The sequence below is a fragment of the Homo sapiens genome, chromosome 1, assembly GCF_000001405.40.
Source record: "Homo sapiens chromosome 1, GRCh38.p14 Primary Assembly".
NCBI classification, from domain to species: domain Eukaryota; kingdom Metazoa; phylum Chordata; class Mammalia; order Primates; family Hominidae; genus Homo; species Homo sapiens.
In genome coordinates, this window is record NC_000001.11 from 223,839,265 (window position 1) to 223,865,481 (window position 26,217).

A 26,217-nucleotide genomic window follows, 5' to 3' on the forward strand; every position below is an offset into this window, starting at 1 on the left:
CCTTATCTGTTGAATGAGAGTGGGAAGATCAACTTCAGAGTGTAATAAGGGGATTAGACGGGATGACCAACCTAAATCACCAGGCACAGTGTGAGGCACAGAAAGGGGGCTCCTCTTCATCCCTGGGAGGGAAGTTAGAGTGAAGCTTCCACTCCCCCTGCTTTTACATATAAATTGTTCACTCCCCTGTGGAAGAACAGTAAATTGCCTTAATCATTTTTTATTACCACAAGTAGTTTAAACTGGTAATCTATAATAGTTTATTCATTATGGTTTTCTACCACTTTTCTATGCTTGTGCCTTAAGGAATTTTGGGTTGATATGTTTGAAATTTAAATAAAGTAGTATTAAGTTATAAATCTGTATCCAGAAAAACAACTGAAGTGAAAGTTCGGCCAACTGCGGTGGCTCACGCCTGTAATCCCAGCACTTTGGGAGGCAGATCACTTGAGGTCAGGAGCTCGAGACCAGCCTGGCCAACATGGTGAAACTCTGTCTCTACTAAAAATAGAAAAAAAAATTTAGCTGAGTGTGGTGGCGCACTCCTGTAATCCCAACTACTCGGGAGGCTGCTGCTAGAGAATCACTTGAGCCCAGGAGGCAGAGGTTGCAGTGAGCTGAGATGGCGCCACGCCACTGCACTCCAGCCTGGGTGATAGAGCAAGACTCTGTCTAAAAAAAAACAACAACAAGTGAAAGTTCAGTACTTACTGGTCCAATGAACATATTCATTGAAAATCTGGTTCGATTATCATCCAAATAAATAATTTGTTTTCGAGTATATTTTATGTAGAAAAAAAGTTTCTAAATCTGTAAAACTACTTTTCCTGCCCATTATCTACTGATGTTTAAAATTTGCATTTCTTTAATAAGACACATTTATTTTAGTAAGACGGTATGCAAAGTGTTTTAAGAAATCACTGACTACTTAAAACTTGATGCTCATAAAGGATCCCCGAATGACCAAACTTCTTGGCTTGCCCCAATAAGACATAGAATTTTAATGTCTCACCTACCACTGCAATATAACTATACATTTCATACATAGTCACATCATCTGTGTTTTCTTTTTTCAATTACATCTGATTAAACAGAATGTTCTGTTCAGTACCTAGCACACCATCAAAAACAAGTATTTAAATAATGTGTGGCTTAAGTGGCATGAGCTGAAAAGAACACTCTGGATTCCTAAACTCTTAATTCCTGTTCTTCTTATTCTGTGAGATCCTTGTGGAGAAAGCTGGTGAGAGGTATGGTATGCAGTTATCCCATTTAAGCTAAGGAGAGGCTAGATAACATGAGCTTCAAGAATACTCAGTGTTAACTTCAGAAAGACTTTTTAAAGAGTGCCATACACTATGGTAGATCACCAAAAGAGACAAAGGTCTACAGTATTCTTTAAAAGCTCCAGAAAAGAAAGTTTTGTTTTATTGTCTGCTGAGGCGGTGGGGATAAAGACGGAGGGAACACAGCTCTTCCTAGAAGCAGTGTATGCGAATAAATGACCCTCCATGTGTCTTCCAGATAAATACATTCTCCTTAATTGTTAAATATAAGCAGGTGTATGCTTGTGTAAATTTCTTTTAAAAAGTCTAAATCTGGTTTCTCTGAAACAGGTAAAAATACAGAAATTTTCAAACGTCTTTCAGCTTTTAAGAGCTGAAGTCACAAGGCAACAAAACTAACGCACATGAAATGTGAGATGCTCCTGGGTGCGGTGGCTCATGCCTGTAATCCCAGCACTTTGGGAGGCCGAGGCTAGTGGATCACGGGGTCAGGAGTTCAAGATCAGCCTGGCCAATACAGGGAAACCCTGTCTCTACTAAAAAATACAAAAATTAGCAGAGCGTGGCCTGTAATCCCAGCTACTCGGGAGGCTGAGGCACAGAACTGCTTTAACCCCAGGAGGCGGAGGCTGCAGTGAGCCGAGATCGCGCCACTGCACTCCAGCCTGGACTACAGAGTGGTGAGACTCCGTCTCAAGAAATAAATAAATAAATAAATAAAAGAAATATTTTGCACATTTCTAAAAATAGATTATTTGTTTAACAGCCTTTGATAACTGTAATTCTATAAAGATAGGAACCTCTCTTTAGGGACCTAATCTAAACTTTATTCTGGAATAAAGCCTGATCTAAGCTAATTTGCTACACTATTACTCAAGCAAAAAGAATTCTTTCAGACCATGATATAATCATACAAATAAAATGTTCCAAATACATAACTTGAAGTCATACAAATATAATGTTTCAAATACACAACTTGAAAGATTTTTAGTTTCAAAACACAATTTTGGTTGTGTTTTGTGCAAATCTGTGCAAATAAAACCAGACCTTTGTAAATAATAATACAAGTATTTAAGCAAAAGTTAAGCTACTGGTCTGTAGAGCTGCACACTTTGCAGTTATGCTCAGAAATATACAAATCCTACTGATCAGGTGGTCAAACTGCTAAAGGAGATACTGTAATATCCCATTTTTTTCCTAGACCCTCAAAATTAGAAGCTCAAATTTTATTCTGCAGCATCATGAAATAACTAGAAATAATTATGCCTCTGCAGCACTGAAAGATAAAATGCCATAAACTTAGGAATTAAACTATGATCACTTCAACTGAGCTTTTTAAAATAAGCCATTACTTTCTCTTTCTTTTTTTTTTTTTTTGAGACAGTCTCGCTCTGTCCCCCAGGCTAGAATGCAATGGCTCACTGCAACCTCCGCCTCAAGGGTTCAAGATTCGCGATCTCGGCTCACTGCAACCTCCGCCTCTAGGGTTCAAGATTCTCCTGCCTCAGCCTCCTGAGTAGCTGGGATTACAGGCACACGCCACCACGCCCAGCTAATTTTTGTATTTTTGGTAGAGATGGGGTTTCACCATGTTGGTCAGGCTGGTCTCAAACTCCTGACCTCGTGATCCACCCACCTCGGCCTCCCAAAGTGCTGGGATTACAGGCGTAGCCACCGTGCCCGGCCCAGCTATTATTTTCTTAAAACCATCTATATAAGGGCTATATGATGACATCGGTTTGACTGCATTGTCATACAGTAGCCACCAGGCATGTGGCTATTTAAATATAATTAAAATTAACTCAGGTTCAGTTCTTCAGTTCCCTTGGCCACATTTGAAGTGCAGTAGCCACATGTGGCTGGTGACTGCCATGCTGGACAGCAAAGATACAGAGCATTTCCATTACAGCTGGACATTCATGCCAAATATACAGCATCTCCAATGACCAAGTGACAGGCAAATTCAAGCCTTCTGGTCTTCCAGGTGGCACTACCAAATACTGTGTAGTTTTGTAAATAATTTTTTAAAATTTATTATTTCAACAGCAGGTACAAACAAAAATTTTTATGAAACTATCAGCTGAAAAGAGCAGAGAGTAGCTTTTAGAGTTAGCCAAGCTCTTTCTTAAGAACACATTTTTGTTTTGAGCATAACACTTCACAAAATCAAAGTAGTGAATAAAAGATATCTAATGTAATTTTCAAACGACTAAGAATTTTTGCTTTTGGTAACTGCCTCCCTTTACATGAAAATCAAATACAACATGCGGATCACTAAAAAGCCAAACTCTCAAAGTGCAAATAATCTCTTCTTTCATCAGGAAAAAGATGTCAAGTATGAAAGTAAAACCAGTTTCTCCTCGGCAAGTTGTGGAAATATCATAGAACTAGAGATACTAACAATGGCAGGTATCTGAAAGTGAGAGTAATTATCAATCCCATTTCTGCAGTACCCTATCATTATCTCTACTGTGATTTGCAGAGCTTGCTACTTATTTTTAGTTAGCCTTCTAAAATACATCTTCCACTTTTGGTTTTGGATCCAATTATCACTTCATGTCCCACATAAAAGAAAACCACTTGATCCTGTACCATTTGGTGAGAAAACACATGAACACAATTTATTTGCACTTTTTTTTTTTTTTATGGAGTCACTCTTAGTTACCAGGCTGGAGTACAGTGGTGCCATCTCGGCTCACTGCAACCTCCACCTCCAGGGTTCAAGCAATTTTGCCTCAGCCTCCCGAGTAGCTGGGACTACAGGCGCACGCCACCACACCCAGCTAATTTTTGTATTTTTAGTAGAGACGAGGTTTCACCATGTTGGCCAGGAGGGTCTCAATCTCTTGACCTCGTGATCCGCCCGCCTCGACCTCCCAAAGTGCTGAGATTACAGGCATGAGCCACCGCTCCTGGCCTATTTGCACATTTTTAATATAATGCAGTCTAAATAGTAAACCATTATCTTCAGAATGCCTTTAAAAGCAAATCAAGGGTTGTACCTAATGCCACAGAACTGTACACTTAAATATAGTTAAAATGGCATATTTTATTTTATGTATATTTTACCACAATAAAAGTACATCAAGGCAATTGTCTACATTCTGAGACTATCCATTTTTTTACACTAAATGGCTTTTCCTGATAAATTGGTTAGAATTTTCCAAAGCAATGTAACAAAATTACATTTATGTTGGAATAAAAATCCAAGCATATGAAAAGCCAAAGATGAGAAATATACTTAATAAAAGTTTTATTTTCAAATATCCAAAATATTACAGTATAAAGACACATATAACATGAGTCTACTAAATGAAAAATTATTTCATATTTTTATATATCACAAATCTGAGAATCTCCACTTTAACCAACATTGGAAATTCAGAGGCGTTTATCTACCGCCTATTGCAAGCTAGACACTGTACTAATCACACTTCCTTCATAAACATAACTCTAATCCTCAAACCACCCTAAGAGCTGAGTACTATTATCCCCATTTTACAGATGATGAAACTGAGGGACAAGTTTTTTTTAAGTGGCTACGTCACTAAAGGTAGTAGCTGAGCAATACTGAAGTGTTAGTCTGACTTCAAAGCTGGTGTAAGTGCCATCATACCACACTGAGTCTGTGTTAGGATTGTATTCTGACATCAGAAAGGCAATCAGAAGAACCATACTGCTAAATTGAATATAGTCTCAAGAGCCACATAACGTTTTATGAATTCGGCTACACAACGGATACCTTGGTAGGGTATCTCCAAAGGATACCTTGACAAAAAACAAGGAAGAAACCATATAGCAACAACTGATACGTGTTTCTCTTGCTCCTACTGTTAGGAAAAATTCACAGACAATCCGTACAAGTTACTTCAACACAAAGAAATGTAAATCCAGGAAATAAAAATCTTAACAGCAAAATCCATCACCCTTATCTATGGTCCATTATTTCAATATTGGGTATTCACACTACAAACCTGATTTCATAACCAGGCATTAAACTAAAATAAGATGCATAATGCTATTAATACTTTCAAATTCCTTGAATCCTGGCAGGACAAAATATCCCAAACCCTCTAAACCCAATTACTAATTCTAGTGAATTGTTAAGTCGACCCAGTGAGAGTTTGGGACGCCCTCCATGACACAAGCAGGGGGCCAGGGAACAGCATATTATACTCTGTATGTATGACTGCAAACTTTGTCATCACTCCATTCCACAGACTTCATAAAAGTAAAAGCTTTTTGTTTCTTTGTCTGAACAAATGGAGCCACAAGCATAGGATGCCTGCAAGATGTCCCCACTTCAGTGGGAGAGGTGCAAATACAACTTCCACGAAGAAACTCGCTACTGAAGTCTGCAGAAGCCACCGCAACACACCGCAAACCTCCATTCCGCGATCGCTGAATGACAGAGACATTTCTGAAATGTCTCAAACCTGCTGTTCATCTGTGGCCTGGTGGCCGTGTCAAAAGCCTGCGGAGCTCCTAAAGAAGGCACTAATCCTCTCCGGAGGTCTTGCTAAAAGCTGTGGGAAACGAAGGGAGCCAGGCACGTACGCTTTCCTGCAATCTAAAACTTCCGAGATTGCATTTACCAAAACCCCTTTCCACAAAGAGGTAAGGGTGACTTAGCTGCTACTGTGGATATCAAGATCGAAATTCAATTAAAAACAAAGCAAAGGTACCCGTTCCAGTAACGTATGTTTCACTCCAGTAAAAAGTAAAAAGACACAGCAAAGAACAAGGTCCCCGGTTCCCGTATTCTTGACCTTCAAGAACTGCAAAAAAGTCAAGACCCAGTGAAAGACGAAAAGTTTGAGTGGCTGCTGGGCTCGCGGGCGGCTCGCCTGACTCCGGAGCAGCTGGAGGAACCCGCCTCGAGGTTAGGGTCTCGCCGCGCCCCCACGACGGCTGTGGGCGCAGAGCCCAGAGGATGGAGCCTCCCCTTCCTGAAACCCGCTCGAAGCTCGGAAAGCCCCGGCCCCTCCGCGCGGGCTGCGGCCCCCAGGCTCCTTCCCCGACGCGCCCGAGGGCGCGGACCAGCCCCCGGCACGCGACCCCGCACACTTCCGGGCCCGACGCCCTGGCCGCTCGCCCACTTACCGGCATCATCTTGGACCCGAACCGCATGGAAGCGGGTGGCCAGACTGCGGCCCCGGCCGAGCTGAGGTGCCCCGGAGGGTCGCGGATGCGGGGGAGGGGAGCGGAGAGCGAGGCCGCCCGGACCTGTTGCGAGGCGGCGGCGGCGGCAGCGGCGGCGCGCGGGTCCGAAGGGCCCTCCGCGCGGGCTGGGGCACCAACAAGCCCCGGGCTCCCCCGCCCCGGCCGGGCCCCCTGACGCGGCTTTGTCTCTTCGACGCTCGTGACGGTCGGGGCTCCCTCCTCCGCTCCGAAACCAACTAATCCCGGGTCGGGCCCCAGCCGAGCCCGTGCCGGCTCCGCCCCCCGCGCCGACCCCGCCCGCGGCGCGCCCGGCGGCCTGGGGGAGGGGCGGCCGCGGGAACGGGAGCTGCGCGCGCCTGCGCGGGCCCGGCTGGGTAGACGGGGAGCGGCGGGAGCCGGCCGCCTTTTCTTTCTTCGCCCCGGACTGAAGTGCGGTCGGGGCCGCGCGGCGGAGCGGCTGGAGCGCGCGCCTCCTAGCGGAGCCGGGGCAATTGGAAGGCCGCGCCTCAGGAAAACAGGATGGTAGTGAATGGCACCGAGCCGCCCCAGGGCTGCCGCCGTCACCTCCTCGGCGGCTCCGAGTCGTGCGAGGCAGGGGACCCTTTGCCTTCAGAACAGGGCGCCCGACGTTGGGCGCGTGGACAGAGTCCTCCGGCGGCCGCGCCGCTGGGCCAGGCGGAGAGAGGCGGACGGACTTCAGGGGAGGCCCGGGCCACGCCGCGGAAACTACCCGACTCCCTGGAGGCGGCCAGGACCGACCCTGTCCCGACAAAATGGAGTTCCCCGTGTGGCTTCAGCTCGCGGCGCGTTCCCAGAGCTCCTCAGTGATCCGGCTTTCGGATTGTTCGCCTTTCATCTCATTTGCCGTTGTCCAAATTCTAATTTAAAACTCATGTGTTACTTGCTGTAAGGTTAACAAACGTACACCGCAAACTGGATAAAGGGATAACTTTTATGTTGTGTATGTTTTACCACAATAAAAATAAATTTTGTAAAAATGTGTCAGGCAGCATTCTGAGGAGCTTCCCTGGGGGGTGCTGGGAACACCCTGCAAACAGCCTCCGATACGGGGAGCCGGTGGATACCATCCTTTTCCAGGGAGGGAGGCCAAGGCCTAGGGAAATGGCAGGGCTGCCTTCCAAAGAGTAGCAGAGCGGGTTCAGGCTTTTATTCCACCTTCCAGAGAGACACATACTGCGGGAACCCTAACTCCAGGAAGCTTTGTTCTAGTAAGTTGTCAGTGCAAGTTCACTCAGAATCACTTTTCTCTGCCTTTATACATGATTCTAGAACCTGAAGTGGGGTAAATCCCCTGGGTTTATCTAGTATCAAGAACAGACAATTCTTTCTTAGCCCACCATATCCCTTACCAGAATCTCCATCGAACTCCCTATTGCACCATCCCAGATACTGTATCTGGAAATACTAAATTACGGTTAATTCAACTAGAATTTAACGTTCTCGCCCGGGCGCAGTGGCTCACGCCTGTAATCCCAGCACTTTGGGAGGCCGAGGCGGGCAGATCACCTGAGGTCAGGAGTTCGAGACCAGCCTGGCCACGTGGTGAAACCCTTGTCTCTACTAAAAATATAAAAATTAGCCGGGCATGGTGGCGCATGCCTGTAATGCCAGCTACTCGGGAGGCTGAGGCAGGAGAATCTCTTGAACCTGGGAAGCGGAGGTTGCAATGAGCAGAGATCACCCCACTGCACTTCAGCCTGGGCAACGAGAGTGAAACTCCATCTGAAAAAAAAAAAAAGAATTTAACGTTCTCAAAAAATCTGGTTTATAGTCTTGTTTTCTTAAGAGGGTTATACTGAGTTAAGCAAAATAAATTCATCCCTCATTCAGTAAATATTTATTAAATACCTGCCACTTGGTAGATATTCTTCTAAGTCCTAGGGATACATCAATGAACAAAAAGTTCAAAAGACAAGTGTAGTTATTGTGAAAAAAATAGAATAAGGTAAGAGAAGGGGATAAGGTGTACAGGTGCAACTTTAAATATGGTGGTCAAGGTAAGCCTCACTGAAAAGGCGGTGTGTGAGCACAGTCTTGAAGGAAATGAGGGTGTGAACTCCACAAATATGAAGGAAGATTTCCAGGCAGAGGGAACAGCCAACGCTAAGGCCTGATATGGGAGCCTGCCTGGCAAATTCTGGGACCATCAAGGAGGCTAAGATAGCTGGAGCAGACGATGAGGGGAGAGTAGTAGGAGATGAGATGGAGTGATATGAAGGGCCAGACAAGGAGGGCCTTGTAGGCTATTCTAAGGACTTTACCTTTGCTCTGAGTGAAATGGGGAGTTATGGAAAGGTTTTGAACAGAAGAGTGATGTCAGCTGACATATTTTAAGAGCTGCTGTGGAAAACTGAAAGTCAACAGAGAACAGTAAGAAACTCTTGTGATAAGCCAAGCAAAAGATGGAAGTGGCTTGCTCAAAGGCGATAACAGCGTCTATGGCAAATAGTGGTCAGGTTTTGGATATATTTTCAAGTCCAAACCCACAGAATTTCCTGACAGATTAGATGTGGAATATGAGAGAAAGAAGCCCAAATTTTTGTCCCAAAAGATGGAAGTTGCCACAAACCAAAATGGAGAAGACCATGAGTGGACCAAGTTACAGAAAAGAGGAGATCAATTGGGAACATGTTAACTTTCAGAATCTTAATAATAAAAGAAACCCTAATACTGAAATTTAGCACGTTTGTGGGAAGCAATAATTCTTTTTTCTTTTAACTTTTAGGTTTGGGGCTACATATGCAGGTTTGTTACATAGGCAAACTCGTGTCACAGGGGTTTGTTGTACAGATTATTTCATCACCCAGGTATGAAGCCCAGTACCCAATAGTTATCTTTTCTGCTCCACTCCTTCCGCTCACCCTCCACCCTCAAGTAGGCCCTACTGTCTGTTGTTCCCTTCTTTGCATTCATGAGTTCTCATCATTTAGCTCCCTCTTCTAAGTGAGAACATGCAGTATTGGGTTTTCTGTTCCTACGTTAGCTTGCTAAGGATAATAGCCTCCACTTCCATTCATGTTCCCACAAAAGACATGATCTTGATATTTTTTATGGCTGCATAGTATTCCATGGTGTATATGTAGCACATTTTCTTTATCCAGTCTGTTATTGATGGATATTTAGGTTGACTCAATGTCTTTGCTATTGTGAATAGTGCTACAATGAACATTCACATGCATGTGTCTTTATGGTAGAATGATTTATATTCCTCTGGGTATGCACTCAATAACGGGATTCCTGGGTTGAATGGTAGTTCTGGGAAGCAACAATTCTTTTTGGTAAACTGCAGTTCATAAAGGGACTATTTTACACCAAAAAACCTACTTCATATTCCACTGGGGTTTTTTTTTATTTTTTTGCAGACAAAGAAGTCCCCAAAACAGCTGAAGATATTATGATCCACAGTCATCCAGGAAAAGAATTCTGGATATTGGTCACTAACCTTCCAGTTCTCACCAAAAAACCGTGTCTCATTACCACCCTAAAACTGGTTGTACACAATAGTAAATTATACTTAGTATGAGTGCTGGCAGCCCTAGCTTATTAATAAAATAATTACAATAGAAATGGAAGCAAGGAGAGAAGAATTGGAATAAGACAGTCCAGTTCTATTTCGTTACTGTCTGTTTACACAAATGCCCTGCCCAAGGGAAGGGAGGAGAAAAGGGACAGCAATTGGCAATATGTCCTGAAACTCACTTCTAGCCAATTGAGAATTCCCAGCTGCCAAATAGCAGGTATGTTGAGGACTTTTTTTTTTTTAATCATAGAAGCGTGAAACCAAAGAACCCTTGTCTGTGCTTTGGTTTCATTCTCTCAGATTCTGTACCACTCAAACATGGCTCTCAGAAGGGTTGTTTTCTACCAAGTTTCAATTTCTCTCCGCTCCCACCCTCACCTGCTTATTCTTTCAAGAGCCTCTGTTTGGTTCTCCCCACCCTATAATTCTCTACTCAACTCCAAGAAAGATAAGTCAAAATGCCACATTCTGAGCGGGGAGGAGCTATCTTCTCTTTTGGCTCTCACCCCACCCCTTGGCACAGTACAATTAATTATCTATTTGGTTTGAATTCAAATGTTTAAGTTCCCAACTTTCTCCCTGTGTTACTCGTTCTCATCTTCCACAGATGTCCCAAACTTTGAGTCCCTCTCTCCTCTCAGAAGATGAATTCCCATCTTACTCAGCCAATGAAACAGAGACTATTGAGATTGCACTCCTGCAATACCTATTCCCTTCACCTCCAACTCATCTGGGTTCTTCTCTACCCTCTCCCCACTCCTTTTGTTTATCTCTTTTACTAATACTCGTGTGGCTGTATTTTGCCAGGCCCTGTTCTAGACTTTAGAGGTAACAGAGAAGAGACTTGCCTTCATGGAGCTTATATTCTAGTTGGGAGGAGCTAGATAACAAACACATGAATAAGGTAATAATAAATGCTACGAAAAAAATAGCAACTAGGTAAATCTAAGAGAATAGCACCTGTTTTAGATAGGCTGGCCAGAGAAAGCCTCTGAGGAATGAGGGGAGGGAGGGAATCAGACTCTGGGCAGTGGGAACAGCAAGGACAAAGAGCTTGAGGCAGCCTTGTGCTTGGCATCTCAAAGACATGGCAAAAAGATCAGTGTGCCCAGGGCAGAGTGAACAAGGAGGGGAGTGGTAAGAGAGGTGGAAGATGTAGCCAGTGCCCAGGTCATGTAGAATCATTTAATATTCCACCAATTATCCTCCCTCTTGAAACCAGAGATACTCCATTTTTACAGTTTCCTTAACCTACGGATTTATTCAGTTATCTCCTACATTCCCCTCAAGTTAGCAGTAATCTGAAAGAAAAATGGGGCAGAAGCTTGTGTATCAAGCCTCTTTGCATCCATTTATACTTTTCCCTCTGCTTTAAAAACCTTCCCCTCCCTCCACCTTACCCTATATGGTAAACTTTTATTCGCCTTTCAAGTTCCTACCTAAATGCCTAAATGTCTTTTTTTTTTTTTAAGAAACAAGGTCTTACACTGTTACTGAGGTTGGAGTGCAGTGGCATGATTATAGCTCACTGTAACCTCAAACTGCTGAGATCAAGCCATCCTCCCACCTCAGCCTCCCAAGTAGCTGTGATTACAAGCATGCATCACCATGCCTGGCTAATTTTTAAATGTTTTGTAGAGATGGTGTCTCACTGTGTTGCCCAGGCTGGTCTAGAACTCCTGGCCTAAAGCAATCCTCCTGCCTCAGCCTCCCAAAGTGTTCGGCTTACAGGCATGAGCCACTACATTGGCTAAATGTCACTCTTAAGGCCATGTTTGATGTTTCTTACACAGAATTAATCAATATTTCATGTATATTCCATAGTACCATGTTGTGGTATTTACAACATGACAGAAAAAAACCACATCTGTCTCCCTAACTAGCTGCAAGGCAAAAACGATTTCTTACTCATTTATTTGTATATCTTTAGCCCTAACATTGTGCCTAGGGAATAATAGATACTCAATGGTATAGTACCTAATAAATGCTTACCATGCTGTCTTTTCTCTTTACTAGGTACAGGAATAGCGAGATTTTTGTTCTGATTCTTGCAATAGCCTTGGGCAAGTCTTCCCACAACTTCTCTTGCCTGCTGCAATTCATTCTCTACCCTAGAGCTTAGCAAACTACAGCCCAAATTTGGCCTTCTGCCTGTTTTTGTATTGCCTATGAGCAAAAATCATTTTTACATTTTTAAATTGTGAGGGGGAAAATCAAAACAAGATGAAGAATATTTTGTGACATGCAAAAACTATATGAAATTCAAATTTCAGTGTCCATAAATAAGGTTTTATTGGAACACAGACACACTTATTTATTTATGTATTGTCTAGTGCGGCTTTCAAGCTACAACAAGAGTTAAATAGTTGCAACAGAGCCTGTACAGCCAGCAAAGCCTAAAATATTTACTACCTGGAAATGTGCTGACTTTTGCTCTACCCAGCAGCAAGAATGGTCTTTTTAACACAAGTGTAATTATATCACTCCTGTGGTTAAAACTTCTCATCTAAGTAGATGGGGTATGGATGGGCCAGGACTAAAGGCTGAAGGGTGTTAGGGTCAGGTGATGAATAATACCCGGGAGTGATGAGTTACATTTTTCTCTCTTCTTCTGTATGCTCTAAATTTTAGATAATAAAATGACTTAAAAAAGAAAAGCCTTCAGTTGCTTTTTATTGCTGTTAGGATAAAGAATACTTCAACATGGCCTCTAAGCCTTCACATGGTCTATTTCATACCCACCCTCCAAGGTAGTTGGAGTAGGAAGAAAACCCAGCACACATATATCTCCTCATAATCATGACAAAAGATTCAAAATTGGTAACTTTGTAGGATAAACTCAGTGTTTGAAGACATATATCTATGATATATGACTCTAGCTTGATTTGGCTAAAGTAATTCCCTGTTTTATTGGTAGCCCGTGGAAAAAGGAGCCCATGATTTATTTTCTTCTATTGTCAGTTCTCTCTCCATTACCTCACCCCCTCCTCACTCATTTAGTCTGCCTTTCAGCCTCATCCCTCCTCTGAAACAGCTCTTGCCAAAGTCACCAATGGCCTGTGTTTCACTGATCCAATAAACATCTTCAGTCTCATCTTCCTCAACCTTCTAGAACAACTTAGCTGTTGCTCATTCCTTTCAAAACACCCTTTTCACTTGACTTATATGACAAGGCTCTTACAGTTTTTCTCCTACCTCCCTGATTACTTCTTGGTATCCTTTGAAGGCTCATTTTTGTTCACCAGACTTTACAAGTTGAAGGTCCTGTAGTCTCAGTCCTAGCCATTTCCTCTTTTCACTGACTACCTTCACTTCTTCCTTAGAAAGTTGTCTTCACAGTCTTAAACCTCATCGACACACATCTCTCTCTTTTTTTTTTTTTTTTTAAGAGGTGGACTCTTGCTTTGTTCCCAGGCTGGAGTGCAGTGGTGCTATCATAGTTCACTGCAGCCCCAAACTCCTGGAATCAAGCAAGACTTCTACCTCAGCCTCCTGAGTAGCTGGAACTACAGGTGCACACCATCATGTATGACTAAATTTAATTTTTTTCAACTTTTTAATTGTTATGTATTTATTTATTTTTTTTAGGTGGAATTTTGCTCTTGTTGCCCAGGCTGGAGTACAATGGCAAGATCTCGGCTCACTGCAACCTCTGCCTCCTCGGTTCAAGCAATTCTCCTGCCTCAGCCTCCCAAGTAACTGGGATTACAGGCATGCGCCACTATGCCAGGCTAATTTTGTATTTTTAGTAGAGATGGGGTTTCTCCATGCTTGTCAGGCTGGTCTCAAACTCCCGACCTCAGGTGATCTGCCCTCCTCGGCCTCCCAAAGTGCTGGGATTACAGGCGTGAGCCACTGTGCCCAGACTATTTTCATATTTTTTTTTATAGCTGCAGGATCTCACTTTGTTGTCTAAGCTGGTCTCAAATTCCTGGCCTCAAGCAATTCTTCTGGATTGACCTCTCAAAGTGCTGAGATTACAGGCATAAGCCACCATGCCTGGCTAATTTTTTATATTTTCAACCTAGGCTGCTTCTCTAGGTTCTAGAACTGCATTGTCAAATGCAAAAATCACTAGCCACATATAGCTGTTGGGCACTTGAAATGTGGCTAGTGCAACTGAGAAACTAAATCTTTTATTTTAGCTTAAATGTAAATAGCCACATGTGAGTAATGGCTAAAATACTCAGCAGTGTAGATACAGAACACTTCCATCATCACAGAAAGCTCTATTGAATAGTGCTGGATTTCCATATCAACATGTCTCAACTCAGCATGTCTAAAACCAAGGGGTAGTTTTTATTCCCAATTCTGGTTCTCATCTAGTACTTCCTGTCTCAGTGTATGCCACAAGTGTTCTCCCATTTTCTCAAGCCACAGACCTGAGAATCATGTTTGACCTTATTTCTCCCTCATCTCTAAGATCTATTCAATCATCAAGGTCTATTCATTCCGTCTCCTAAATATCTCATCAAGCTCCCTTTCTTCCGTGACTACAGCCATGCTATTCAAGCTACCATCATTTCTCGTAAATCTGATCACAAGATAGCACTGCTTGATGTCCTTCCTTAACTCTGCCTCCAAGCCCTTGAATGCCTGTCTCTGCCCATCCTTCAGTGGTACTAGGTACCACAGTCCTCTCCTTCTGTGAGACTCAGCCACACCACCTTTTTCAGTTTCCCTTTTGCCCTTCATGCTTCCTCTAGCACATGCTGTAGCATAGCTCCAAGGACCTCACCTTCACACCATGTGTCACCACTGTATTCACTGTATTCATTACACTGGTTTGTGTTATTCAATTAATGTCAGTCTCTCCCACAATACTGTAACCCACAGGTAGGGACTCTACTCATCCTTGTTTAGCATGGATTCTTCAGTACTTAAAACAGTGCTCAGTCCATAATAGTAGAATGAATAAATAAATTAATTAAAGAGTGACTAAATCAATGAATTATTCATTTGTCTGTAGCTTACATGATTCAAGTCAGTGTTTCCCAGTTCTATGGCCATAGATTATATCTGTCACCCCAAATAGCCATCTCATAAATGCCTACAAAAAGTTCTGATTGAATGAGAGTGAAAGGATCTATGGAATGTAAATCTCTTGCTGAAATACAGACCTAAAGTGCTCCCCTTCTGATGATTGGCCAATGGTGGTGTCTTTCATAAACAACTATATTTATGAGGCCGGGCGGTGGCTCGCACCTGTAATACCAGTACTTTGGGAGGCTGAGGCAGATGGATTACTTGAGGTTAGGAGTTCGAGACCAGCCTGGCCAACATGGTGAAACCCCGTATCTACTAAAAATACACTGGCCGGGCGCGGTGGCTCACTCCTGTAATCCCAGCACTTTGGGAGACCAAGGCGGGTGGATCACCTGAGATCAAGAGTTCAAGACAAGCGTGGCCAACGTGGCAAAACCTTGTCTCTACTAAAAATACAAAAATTAGCCGGGTGCGGTAGTGGCCGCCTATAATCCTAGCTACTCAGGAGGCTGAGGAAGGAGAATTGCTTGAACCCGGGAGGCAGAGGTTGCAGTGAGTGGAGATCGCACCATTGCACTCCAGTCTGGGCAACAGAGTGAGACTCTGTCTTAAAATAAATAAATAAAATACAAATACAAATACAAAAATTAGCTGGGCATGGTGGTGAGCACCTGTTAACTCAGCTACTTGGGTGGCTGAGACAGGAAAATCGCTTAAACCCAGAAGGTGGAGACTGCAGTGAGCCGAGATGGTGCCACTATACTCCAGCCTGGGCAACAGAGTGAGACTCTGTCTCAGAAAAAAAAAAAAAAAACTATATTTATAACTACCGTGTTACCATGAGCATTTGAAAAAAAAAAAAAAGAAAATCTATGTGATGAGACTTTAGAAAGAAAAATTAAGGCTTCTCTATTGACAAGCAAGAGAATTTTAGCCTGAAATACTGAAAACAGGCTTCCAAGTGCCAAGAACTCACAAAGGCCCATTGGCCACCAACGAAGTATGTCGCAGCTTCCATTCTCCCCCTTGCAAAGGGGCTTTATTCTACTGTAAGGAATGTACATGTATTTCTTCTTGGTCACCTCTTAAACACACAGTGTTAGATGAGAATGAACTGAATGAACTGCATCCTAACCATTTTTAAATCATTTTTAAACTTGGGATTTATTCAAGTATTTTTCAAGAATACCTATGAAAAGCACACTGATTTTACAGCTACGTGGCCTAAGTTCCTTTGAGGAAAGGACCAGTTCTTAAAGTTCTGGGCATTCCCTTTAGCCTAGCACACAATGTTTGACTCTCAATTACTAAATGAATGTAATTGTGTTGCTGCCACAAAAGTTTTTCTCTGAATAGCTAAAGATAAATAATTAGAAAAGGAAAAACTAGGCCGGGCATGGTGGCTCACGCCTGTAATCCAAGCACTTTGGGAGGCTGAGGTGGGCAGATTGCCTGAGGTCAGGAGTTCAAGACCAGTCTGGCCAACATGGTGAAACCCCGTCTCTACTAAAAAAAAAAAAAAAAAAAAAAAATTAGCCAGGCATGGTGGTGTGCGCCTGTAATCCCAACTATTCGGGAGGCTGAGGCAGGGTAATTGCTTGAATCAGGGAGGTGGAGGTGGCAGTGAGCCGAGATCACGCCACTGTATCCAGCCTGGGCGACAGAGTGAGACTCAACTCAAAAAAAAAAAAAAGGAGAGACAAGGAGAAACTAACTCGATGATTTTATATCATCATTTAAATCCCACTTATGAGGAATTCATAACTCACTTCTAATAACTGTTATGTATGACATTCAAGTTTCTTATTGACAGTTGAGAATATTTCACCCCACCTCTTATTGTCGCCCAATGTACATTAATTGAGACAGAGTAACTTTTTTTGTATTTTGTCAGGCAGCCCCTGAACCCCAGAACAGGTTCAGAGAGACTCCCAAGAGTAAAATTTGTAAAAGTCTTGGCCAAACTCAATTTTTATTGCTCTAGTTAAGGCCCAGAGGGAGCTTTTAAAAGGTCAGCAGAGAAGGTAAATTTAGGAGACTACAAAACTGAAAAAGGAGAGTAGTATCTGCTTAGAGAGAATTTTCACTTCGAACTGATGAGTCCTCAAACTGTAACCACTGAAGATTTTTTTCTCCTAAAGTAATTGTTTTCTGAAATCTATTTTCTTTCTTTTTTTATTTTTTGAGATCTGAAGTGGTTTTACCTTTATTTCCTTCACTTTAAGTCAATCATGAAATTTCACAGTGATTTCTGGAGTGGGAGCAGAAGGGAGGCGGCGTTAAGAATCACCGGGGCTGTGGCCCGGTCAGCCCGCGGAAGTGGAGGCCGTGTGGGCCCTCACTGGGGCAGCTGGAGGAGCACGGACTGCCCCGCCAGCAGATAGGTGATGTTCCAAGAGCGTGAGAGCAGGTACGCGATGTCTTCCACAGCTTCCTGCTCGATTAGACCGTCCCCCGCGGTGACCAGTGAGTTGACAATCAGCTCAGCTGCCTTGGAGTCGCCCTCAGCAGAGATGATGGCCACCTTTTTCTGCTGCTCAGCCTTTTCCACCACAAATCTCGCCCTCTCTACTTCCTGCTGAGCCACCTGTTTGGCTTCCATCGCTTCTGTGAACTCCTTCCCGAAGGTCAGATGTGTCAAGGACACGTCGTCCAGGATGAGCCCAAAGGTGGCTGCTCGCTCCGTAAGGTCATTGCTTACCTACCTGGAGACCAGCTCTCTCTGGGTGATTAGCTCTCCAGCATCAAAGCGAGTCATCGCTGACTTGAGGATGCCGGTCGTGATGGACAGCAGCACACGCTCATCATAGTCCTCTCCGATGCTGGTGAAGATGCGAGAAACTGGCTAGCAACGGCCCAGAAGAGGATGCGCAGTGTGATGTTGACATTCTGTAAGTCTTTGCTGCCGGCGATGACTGGCACTTTACGTGGTCGAGAACGGCAGTCAAAGATAATTGGTTTCTGTACCCAGGGGATGAGACAGTGAGTCCCTTCCCCTACCACAATGTCCTGTACTCCATGGAATCGGTCAAAGATGACAGCTCTGTGCCCAGCATCCACATTATATAAAGCAGAGTTCACCACGCCTCCTGCAACAGCTAAGGCCAGGCCAAACTTGCCGATGGACGCAAACACTTTGGCAGCCATGTTTTCTTCTGCTTGACCCTCTCACATCTGCTTCTACTCTGACCTCCACATGAATTCCCCAACCACACATACCCTGAAATCTATTTTCAAACATACATCACATTTACTACATCTAATAGAATAAATATGAACTTGAAAAAAGTAATCAAAGTATGCTTATACAAAAGAACCGACTATGGCAAATTCTCCCTGTCCATTTAAATACACATTTAGCCCAGCATGGTAGCATGCGCCTATAGTCCCAGCTACAAAAATAAATAAATAAACATGCTTTTCTTTACCCCTGAATATCAATTTACATTCAAGTTTTCAATTTAATTCAATAAACACGACTGAATGTCTATTATGATCCAGTCACTGTCTGGGGCACATTTATGTGAAATGAAGTACACATAAAATCGAAGGCATTTGGCCAGGCGTGGTGGCTCATGCCTGTAATCGCAGTACTTTGTGAAGCCACAGTGGGTGGATCACCTGAGGTCAGGAGTTCAAGACCAGCCTGGCCAACATAGTGAAACCCCATCTTACTAAAAATACAAAAATTAGCCATGTGTGGTGGTGCAAACCTGTAGTGTCAGCTACTTGGGAGGCTGAGGCAGGAGAATTGCTTGAACCTGGGAGGTGGAGGTTGCAGTGAGCCGAGATCGCCTGGGCGACAGGGCAAGACTCTGTCTCAAAAAAGAAAAAAAAAAGCATTATTTTAAGAACCCTATAGGTAGGAAATATTTTCATTGCCATATTCATGAAATTGGTACTTTTGTTCTCCTCATTTTATGAATGAGGAACTTGAGGCACACAGAGAAGTTAAGTAACTTGTCTGAAGCCTCCCAGTTGGTAAGTGGCAGAAGCTAGAAGCTAGGATTTGAACCTAGATGCTTTGAGCCCAGAGTCTACATTCTTAATCCCTGTACTATTGTCCCTTTACCACTGTTCTATTCTTCAATACTTCTATACTGAGTACGAGAGAAGGCAAGGGGCCAGCCAGTGGGGATACAAAGGTAAGTAATTCAAAGCACACGCAATCTAGCAGAGGAAAACGTACCTACGAGCACATGAGTGAAATCAAATGCACTGGTGCTCTGGCTGAAGTTCACACAAGGGATAGTCACCTTATCCCCTGACCCTCCCAGGATGAGACAGTCATGAAAGCCCTCACTGGGAGGAGGGCTGATTAACTGAGTCCAAAAGATGAGCTCACCATCTTTGGTTGGTTCGGTTAGTGTATTTTCTATTTCACTTATTCGAAGCCTTGATTTACTAGGAAAAATTTTTATTTCATTGAAACTAAGTTTTATTGTCTACTATATCCATAGCAATATGAAATATATGAATAAGGCATTGTCGATGCTCTAGAGGAGCTTATATACTCAGGAGAGGGGAAATGGAGGCAGAAAGAATAATAACTATGTCTACCATTTATAGCACAATTACTATATGTCAGGCATCATGCTCAGCCCTTTACGAATATTTCCTCATATTATCTTCATTAACCCTATAGGAAAGTACTATTATCTCTATTTTACAGATAAACTAAAGCTTAGAGATGTTAACTTACTGACTGATTGAATAGATAACTTTCTAAAAACCTGCTATGTATGTGCTGGGTACAATTCTAAACTTTAGGGATACTGTGGTGAAAAAGACAGATAAGTTCCTCCTGCCCTGCCCTGCTCTCTAGATGTTTTTATTCTTTTTGTTTTGTTTTGTTTTGTTTTGTTTTGTTTTTTGTAGACGGGCTCTCACTCCATCACCCAGGCTGGAGTGCAGTGGCATGATCACAGTTCACTGCAGCCTCGACCTCCCCTGGTTTATGTGATCCTCCCACCTCAACCTCCGGAGTAGCTGGGACTACAAGTGCATGGCACCGTGCCCAGCTAATATTTTGGTATTTTTTTGTAGAGATAAGATATGGCAACGTTGCCCAGGCGGGTCTCAAACTCCAGAGCTCAAGCTATCCGCCTACCTCAGCCTCCCCAAGTGCTAGGATTACAAGCGTGAGCCACTGTGCCCAGCTTAGAAGTTTTTATTCTAATTGGGGAAGAGAGATGATAAACAAGTAAATAAGATAAATGCTATGAAGACACTAAAATAAGATGGTGCAATAGTGACCGAGGTGGGGCATTTTAGAAATAATGGTGAGGAAAGTTCTATCCAAAGAGATGACATTTGAACAGAGATCCGAGAGACAAGAAGAAACTATCCTCAGAAGTCCTGGATGAAAAGGGTCTCAGGCAGAGAGACGAGCAAATGCAAAAACCTTGGAAGAGTGAGGTTGGCATGCTGGAGAGGCAGAAGAAAGGCCAGAATGGCTAGAGCAGAGGGCCTCACCCCAAATCACACAACTCATAAATAGCAGAGATGATTCAAATCTATGCCTGCCTAAGGTGAAAACCACTATGTAATATTGCCTAAAAAAACAAATAGAATGTTCTACACATTGTCATCACTGGGTGTGTTTTTAGGTTAACCTGAGCAATATCCAAAGGCAAGGGAACATATGGAACGAAAAGTCGAAAGAGAGGAAACTCTTGCAAACAGAAAGGCTTCCTCTAAAACAGGAGATACAAAGACAAATAAGGCATTGTATGCACCAGCTGTATCAAACCCCGCTTCATTAAACTCTGGTATTAATCTCCACCCATTATGCATCCTCAGTTCTTATCTTAGACTGAAATCCCTTGCAGGGGTGATGGAATGCAGCTTTGATACTTCAGATTAGAAATTCAGATAAGTGTAATCTAAAAATTTCTTCCTGCTTCTCCCAGGTGCCAGCCGAGAGCTATTCAGTCTGAAGGGTTCACTCTTCTGGTGGCTCCAAGAGAAGAGCCATCTGGGCAAGAAGGCAGCAGCCATCTGGGCAAGAAGTTCTGCAGGAGGTGGTGCAGAGCTGGCTAGTCAGGCTGTGATTAAACTGGTGTGTGAGTGGTAAGTTCAGACAGGAGCTGTTACTGAGATACTAATCATAAGGTAAGTGGCAGAGAACCAAACTGTGGGCAGAGCAGGTTCAAGTTGCTAAGCAAGCTGTCATAGACAAGGAGGGCAGAAAACCTTAGCGAAACATAACACCACAGATGAATCTAAGATAGACCCATTGTTCTGACACCGAGCTGGGTCAGATGAGCCCATTTTTACTCGAGTCAGCCTGGAGTAGCTCCAGGCTAACTGGGTAGCTCTGCTCCAAAGAAATCTCAATTCGTAATAAAAGATTGGGCCCCTCCCTGTATCCAGGCACACAGATTGTCATACTCTAGCTCAGCTGGGAGAGGAAGTTTAGCCCAATTTCCCTGCTGATAGTTGGCATTAAAGAAGGTGCTTTTCCAGAGTATGGTCTGTATTTTCTGCCTGCCTGATCTGTGGGTGGTAGGCAAAGGTGCACATCTACTCTGAGATCTATAAAGGCAGCTCTTCTGAAAAATGGGCTGAATTATCAACTGCATTCTTTCATGATGTGATTAGAAAAAAACCATGTGTAGTAGTAATAGGAACTACCTTTGATTTTTAAGTTCCATGACAGATCTTGGAAGTATACAACATATAATATCTTATTAAATCTCATAACAACCCTATGAAATTGATACTATTAATATTCCCAGTTTACAGATAAAGAAATTCGAACTTAGATAAGTAACTTTTACAAGGGGTACAAGTGAGAAATAGTAACAGGTCACTGTAATGCAAAAGCCTGTGTTCTTCATTTTTTAAGTCAACTTTATTGAGGTATAATTTACATACAAAGTAATGCACGTATCTTAAATGTATAGTTATTTGAGTTTTGCCAATGTATACACCCTTGCAAATACAAACAGATCAAGCTATATAACATTTCCTTCATCCTCATACCCCTTTGTATTAGTCTTCTCTACACTGGCAACCACAGATCTGCTTTCTGATGCCAGAGAGTAGTTTTCCATGTTCCAGAATGTCATATGAATAAAATAAAATAGTATGTACTCTTTCGTGTTGCTCTTCTTTTGTTCACCATAACGTTTTTGTTGTTGTTGTTGTATTTTGGGGGGAATTATAATTTGAAATTCCTGTACCCTACACAGATAAGTATCTGTTTCTCAAAGAGAGATTTCAATTTTCAGTCTCTCTCCCCATTTTTTTTTTTTTTTTTGAGATGGAGTTTCGCTCTTGTTGCCCAGGCTGGAGTGCAATGGCACAATCTCAGCTCACCACAACCTCCGCCTCCTGGGTTCAAGCCGTTCTCCTGCCTCAGCCTCCCGAGTAGCTGGAATTACAGGCATGCAACACAACGCCCGGCTAATTTTGTGTTTTCAGTAGAGATGGGGTTTTTCCATGTTGGCCAGGCTGGTCTCGAACTACTGACCTCAGGTGATCCACCCACCTCAGCCTCCCAAAGTGCTGGGATTACAGGCATGAGCCACCACACCTGACTTCAGTCTCATTTTTATATACATTTAAAAAGTCATATGAATAAGATCAAACCTTGCTTGTATTGTACAAAGCAGAATTGCCATCTGTTTACCTCTTACGGTGTTATATTTTTTAAGTGTGTAAGGGTTTTCCCAAGCTTTATTGAGGAATAGCTGACAAATACAATTATATATATTTTAGGTATACAACATGATGCTTTGATATACATATAAATGGTGAACTGATTACCATGATCAAGTTAGTTAACACACCCATTACCTCACATAATTACCATTTGTGTATGTGTGGTGAGAACATTTAAGACTTACTCTCTTAGCAAATTTCACTAGTCAGCATAACCTTTTGAGATTCATTCATGTTATTGCATATATCAGTAATTCATTTCTATTATTGCTAAATAACTTTCCACTATTTATATGTACCACGATTTTTGTACCCATTCACCTACAGAGAGATATTTGGGTTATTTCCTATTTCTCTGGCTATTGTGAATAAATAAACCTGCTATGAACATTTATGTACAAGCCTTTCTGTGAACACGTTTTCACTTTTTTTTTTTTTTGAGACAGGGTCTCAGTCTGTTGCCCAGGCTAGAGTGCAGTGGCATGATCTCAGCTCACTGCAACCTCCGCCTCCCGGGTTCAAGCTATTCTCCCACCTCAGCCTCCCCAGTAGCTGGGACTACAGGCACCCACCAGTGTGGGCCCAGCTAATTTTGTATTTTTTGGTAGAGTCAGGGGTTTCACCATGTTGGCCAGGCTGGTTTCAAACTCCTGACCTCAGGTGTTTGATCCACCCACCTTGGCCTCCCAAAGTGCTGGGAGCCACTGCACCCAACCTGTTTTCACTTTTCTTTGATACATATCTAGTAACAGAATTGGTGGGTGTATGTTTACCTTTATTTTAAAAATTGGCAGACTTTTCCAAGACGGTTGTACTGTTTCACATTCCCACCAGCAATGTACAAAAGAGTTCCGGTGCTCCACATATTTGAGAATACTTGATATTGTCTGATAACTTGTGATAAGCATCTTTTCATATGTTTATTGGCCATCTGTATTTTTTTGTGAAGTATCTGTTCAAGTGTAAGCCCATCTTTAATTGAATTATTTATTATTGAGTTGTAAGAATTTTTTTATAGATTCTGGGAAAATGTCCTTTAACAGACATGTGTATTGAGAACATTTTCTCCCAAAGGTGCATTGCTTTCATTTTCTTTTTTTTAATTATTTATTTTTCAATTTTTTAAATTTTACTCTAAGTTTTTGGATACATGTGCAGAACATGCAGGTTTGTTACATAGGTATACATTTGCCATGGTGGTTTCCTGCACCAATCAACCCGTCATCTAGGTTTTTTTTTTTAAGGTGCGCACTTTTATTCAACTGGTCTCAAGTCAGTGTACAGGTAAGCCCTGGCTGCCTCCACCCACTCCCAGGGAGACCGAAAGCCTTCATACATCTCAAGTTGAGGGACAAAAAAGGGGGCCACAAAGTCTGATCATTCAAAATAAAACAAAATAAAAAAGTGTTAAGGTGAAGATTTTTAAAAATTGGCATTACATAATTTACATGAGAGCAATGCTATCACCTCCTCTGTGTGGATGTGGGAGAGGACTGGGCCATTCTCCTTAGAGAGAAGTGGGGCGGCTTTTAGGAGGGCAAGGAACTTCCTGTAACAATGCATCTCATGATATTTGGAATGACTATTTTTTAAAAAAAGAACAACGTACAATCAATGTCCTCGGCCACATTGTAGAACTCTGGGGGATGCTCGCTCCAACAGACTGCTGTCACCTTCACCATTCCAGTTTTTAAATCCTGAGTCAAGCCAAAAAAAAAAAAAACAAAAACAAATAAAGCCATGCGAATCTCATATTGTTTTCTGCTCAAGTTAGGTTTTGACAAGAAAGGGTGTAATGTAACTAAGTCACAGTCCGCCTAGAAGCATTCGCAGTGGACAGTGGAGGGGCCAGACTTGTCATACTCCTCCTGCTTGCTGATCCATATCTGCTGGAAGGTGGACAGAGAGGCCAGGATAGAGGTGCCGATCCACACGGAGTACTTGCGCTCGGGAGGAGCAATGATCTTGATCTTCATCGTGCTGGGGGCCAGGGCGGTGATCTCCTTCTGCATCCTGTCCGCTATGCAGGCCAGAGTACACGGTGGTGCTGCCAGACAGCACTGTGTTGGAGTACAGGTCTTTGCAGATGTCCACGTCACACTTCGTGATGGAGTTGAAGGTAGTTTCATGGATGCCACATGATTACATGCCCAGGAAGGAAGGCTGGAAGAGTGCCTCAGAGCAGCAGAACTGCTTTGATGATGACCTGGCTATCAGGCAGCTTGTAGCTCTTCTCCAGGGAGGAGCTGGAGGCCCCCGTGGCCATCTCCTGCTCGAAGTCCAGGGCGATGTAACACGGCTTCTCCTTGATGTCATGCACGATTTCCTGCTCAGCCGTAGTGGTGAAGCTGTAGCCGCGCTCCGTGAGGATCTTCATGAGGTAGTCAGTTAGGTCCCGGCCAGCCAGGTCCAGACACAGGATGGCGTGGGGGAGGGCATACCCCCCGTAGAAGGGCACAGTGTGGGTGACCTCGTCACCAGAGTCCATCATGATGCCAGTGGTACGGCCAGAGGCGTACAGGGACAGCAGAGCCTGGATGGCCACGTACATGGCTGCCGTGTTAAAGGTCTCAAACATGATGTGGGTCATCTTCTCACGGTTGGCCTTGGGGTTCAGGGGGCCTTGGTCAGCAGCACGGGGTGCTGCTTGGGAGCCACACGCAGCTCATTGTGGAAGATGTGGTGCCAGATCTTCTCCATGTCGTCCCAGTTGGTGACGATGCCGTGCTCGATGGGGTACTTCAGGGTCAGGATGCCTCTCTTGCTCTGGGCCTCGTCACCCACATAGGAATCCTTCTGACCCATGCTCACCATCACGCCCTGGTGCCTGGGGCGCCCCACCATGGAAGGGAAGATGGCCCAGGGGTCATCATCCCCTGTGAAGCCAGCCTTGCACATGCCGGAGCTGTTGTCAATGACGAGCGCCGCGATATCATCATCCATGGTGAGCTGGCGGCGGGTGTGGACAGGCTGCAGAGCAGCGAGGGCAAGGCTCTGTGCTCACCTGGCAGACATGGTCTTGGCAGTCCATCATCTAGGTTTTAAGCCCCGCATGCATTAGGTATTTGTCCTAATGCTCTCCCTCTCCTTCACCCCCACCCTGGAAAGGCCTCAGTGTGTGATGTTCCCCTCTCTGTGTCCGTGTGTTCTCATTATTCAACTCCCACTTATGAGTGAGAACACACAGTGTTTAGTTTTCTGTTCCTGTGTTAGTTTGCTGAGAATGATGGTTTCCAGCTTCATCCATGTCCCTGCAAAGGACATGAACTCATTCTTTTTTAAGGCTGCATAGTATTCCATGGTGTATATGTGCCACATTTTCTTTCTCCAGTCTGTCATTGCTGGGCATTTGGGTTGGTTCCAAGTCTTTGCTTTAGTAAATAGTGCTGCAATAAACATACGTGTGCATGTGACTTTACAGTAGAATGTTATAACGCTTTGGGTACATACCCAGTAATGGGATTGCTGGGTCAAATGGTATTTCTGGTTCTAGATCCTTGAGGAATTGCCACACTGTCTTCCACAATGGTTGAACTAATTTACACTCCCACCAACAGTGTAAAAGCGTTCCTA

General features: G+C 43.4%; 1 protein-coding gene and 2 pseudogenes across 4 annotated transcripts in view, besides 1 other annotated feature; all 3 read right to left on the reverse strand.

The window, feature by feature from the left end:
- The window catches only part of TP53BP2 (tumor protein p53 binding protein 2), a 66,055-nt gene extending 59,372 nt beyond the window's left edge, over positions 1 to 6,683 (reverse strand). For 3 of the 4 annotated variants that reach the window (XM_011544268.3, NM_001031685.3, NM_005426.3), the window contains exon 1: positions 6,390 to 6,683. Coding sequence is in view for 1 of the 4 variants with exons in the window: in NM_001031685.3 (NP_001026855.2) it covers positions 6,390 to 6,416 (27 nt within the window). In the remaining 3 variants the exon portion in view is untranslated. Of the gene's footprint in view, positions 1 to 5,971; positions 6,142 to 6,389 lie in introns of those variants that run through there. The other variant, XM_047429498.1, reaches the window with a different exon arrangement.
- Positions 6,511 to 6,820: a silencer, noted in NCBI's record as "silent region_1844". NCBI's record gives its function as "represses an Ori minimal core promoter by ATAC-STARR-seq in GM12878 lymphoblastoid cells {active_cell/tissue: GM12878}" and the evidence as "EXISTENCE:reporter gene assay evidence [ECO:0000049][PMID:35858748]".
- PHB1P11 (PHB1 pseudogene 11) lies at positions 17,143 to 18,195 on the reverse strand (annotated as a pseudogene).
- ACTBP11 (ACTB pseudogene 11) lies at positions 23,881 to 25,671 on the reverse strand (annotated as a pseudogene).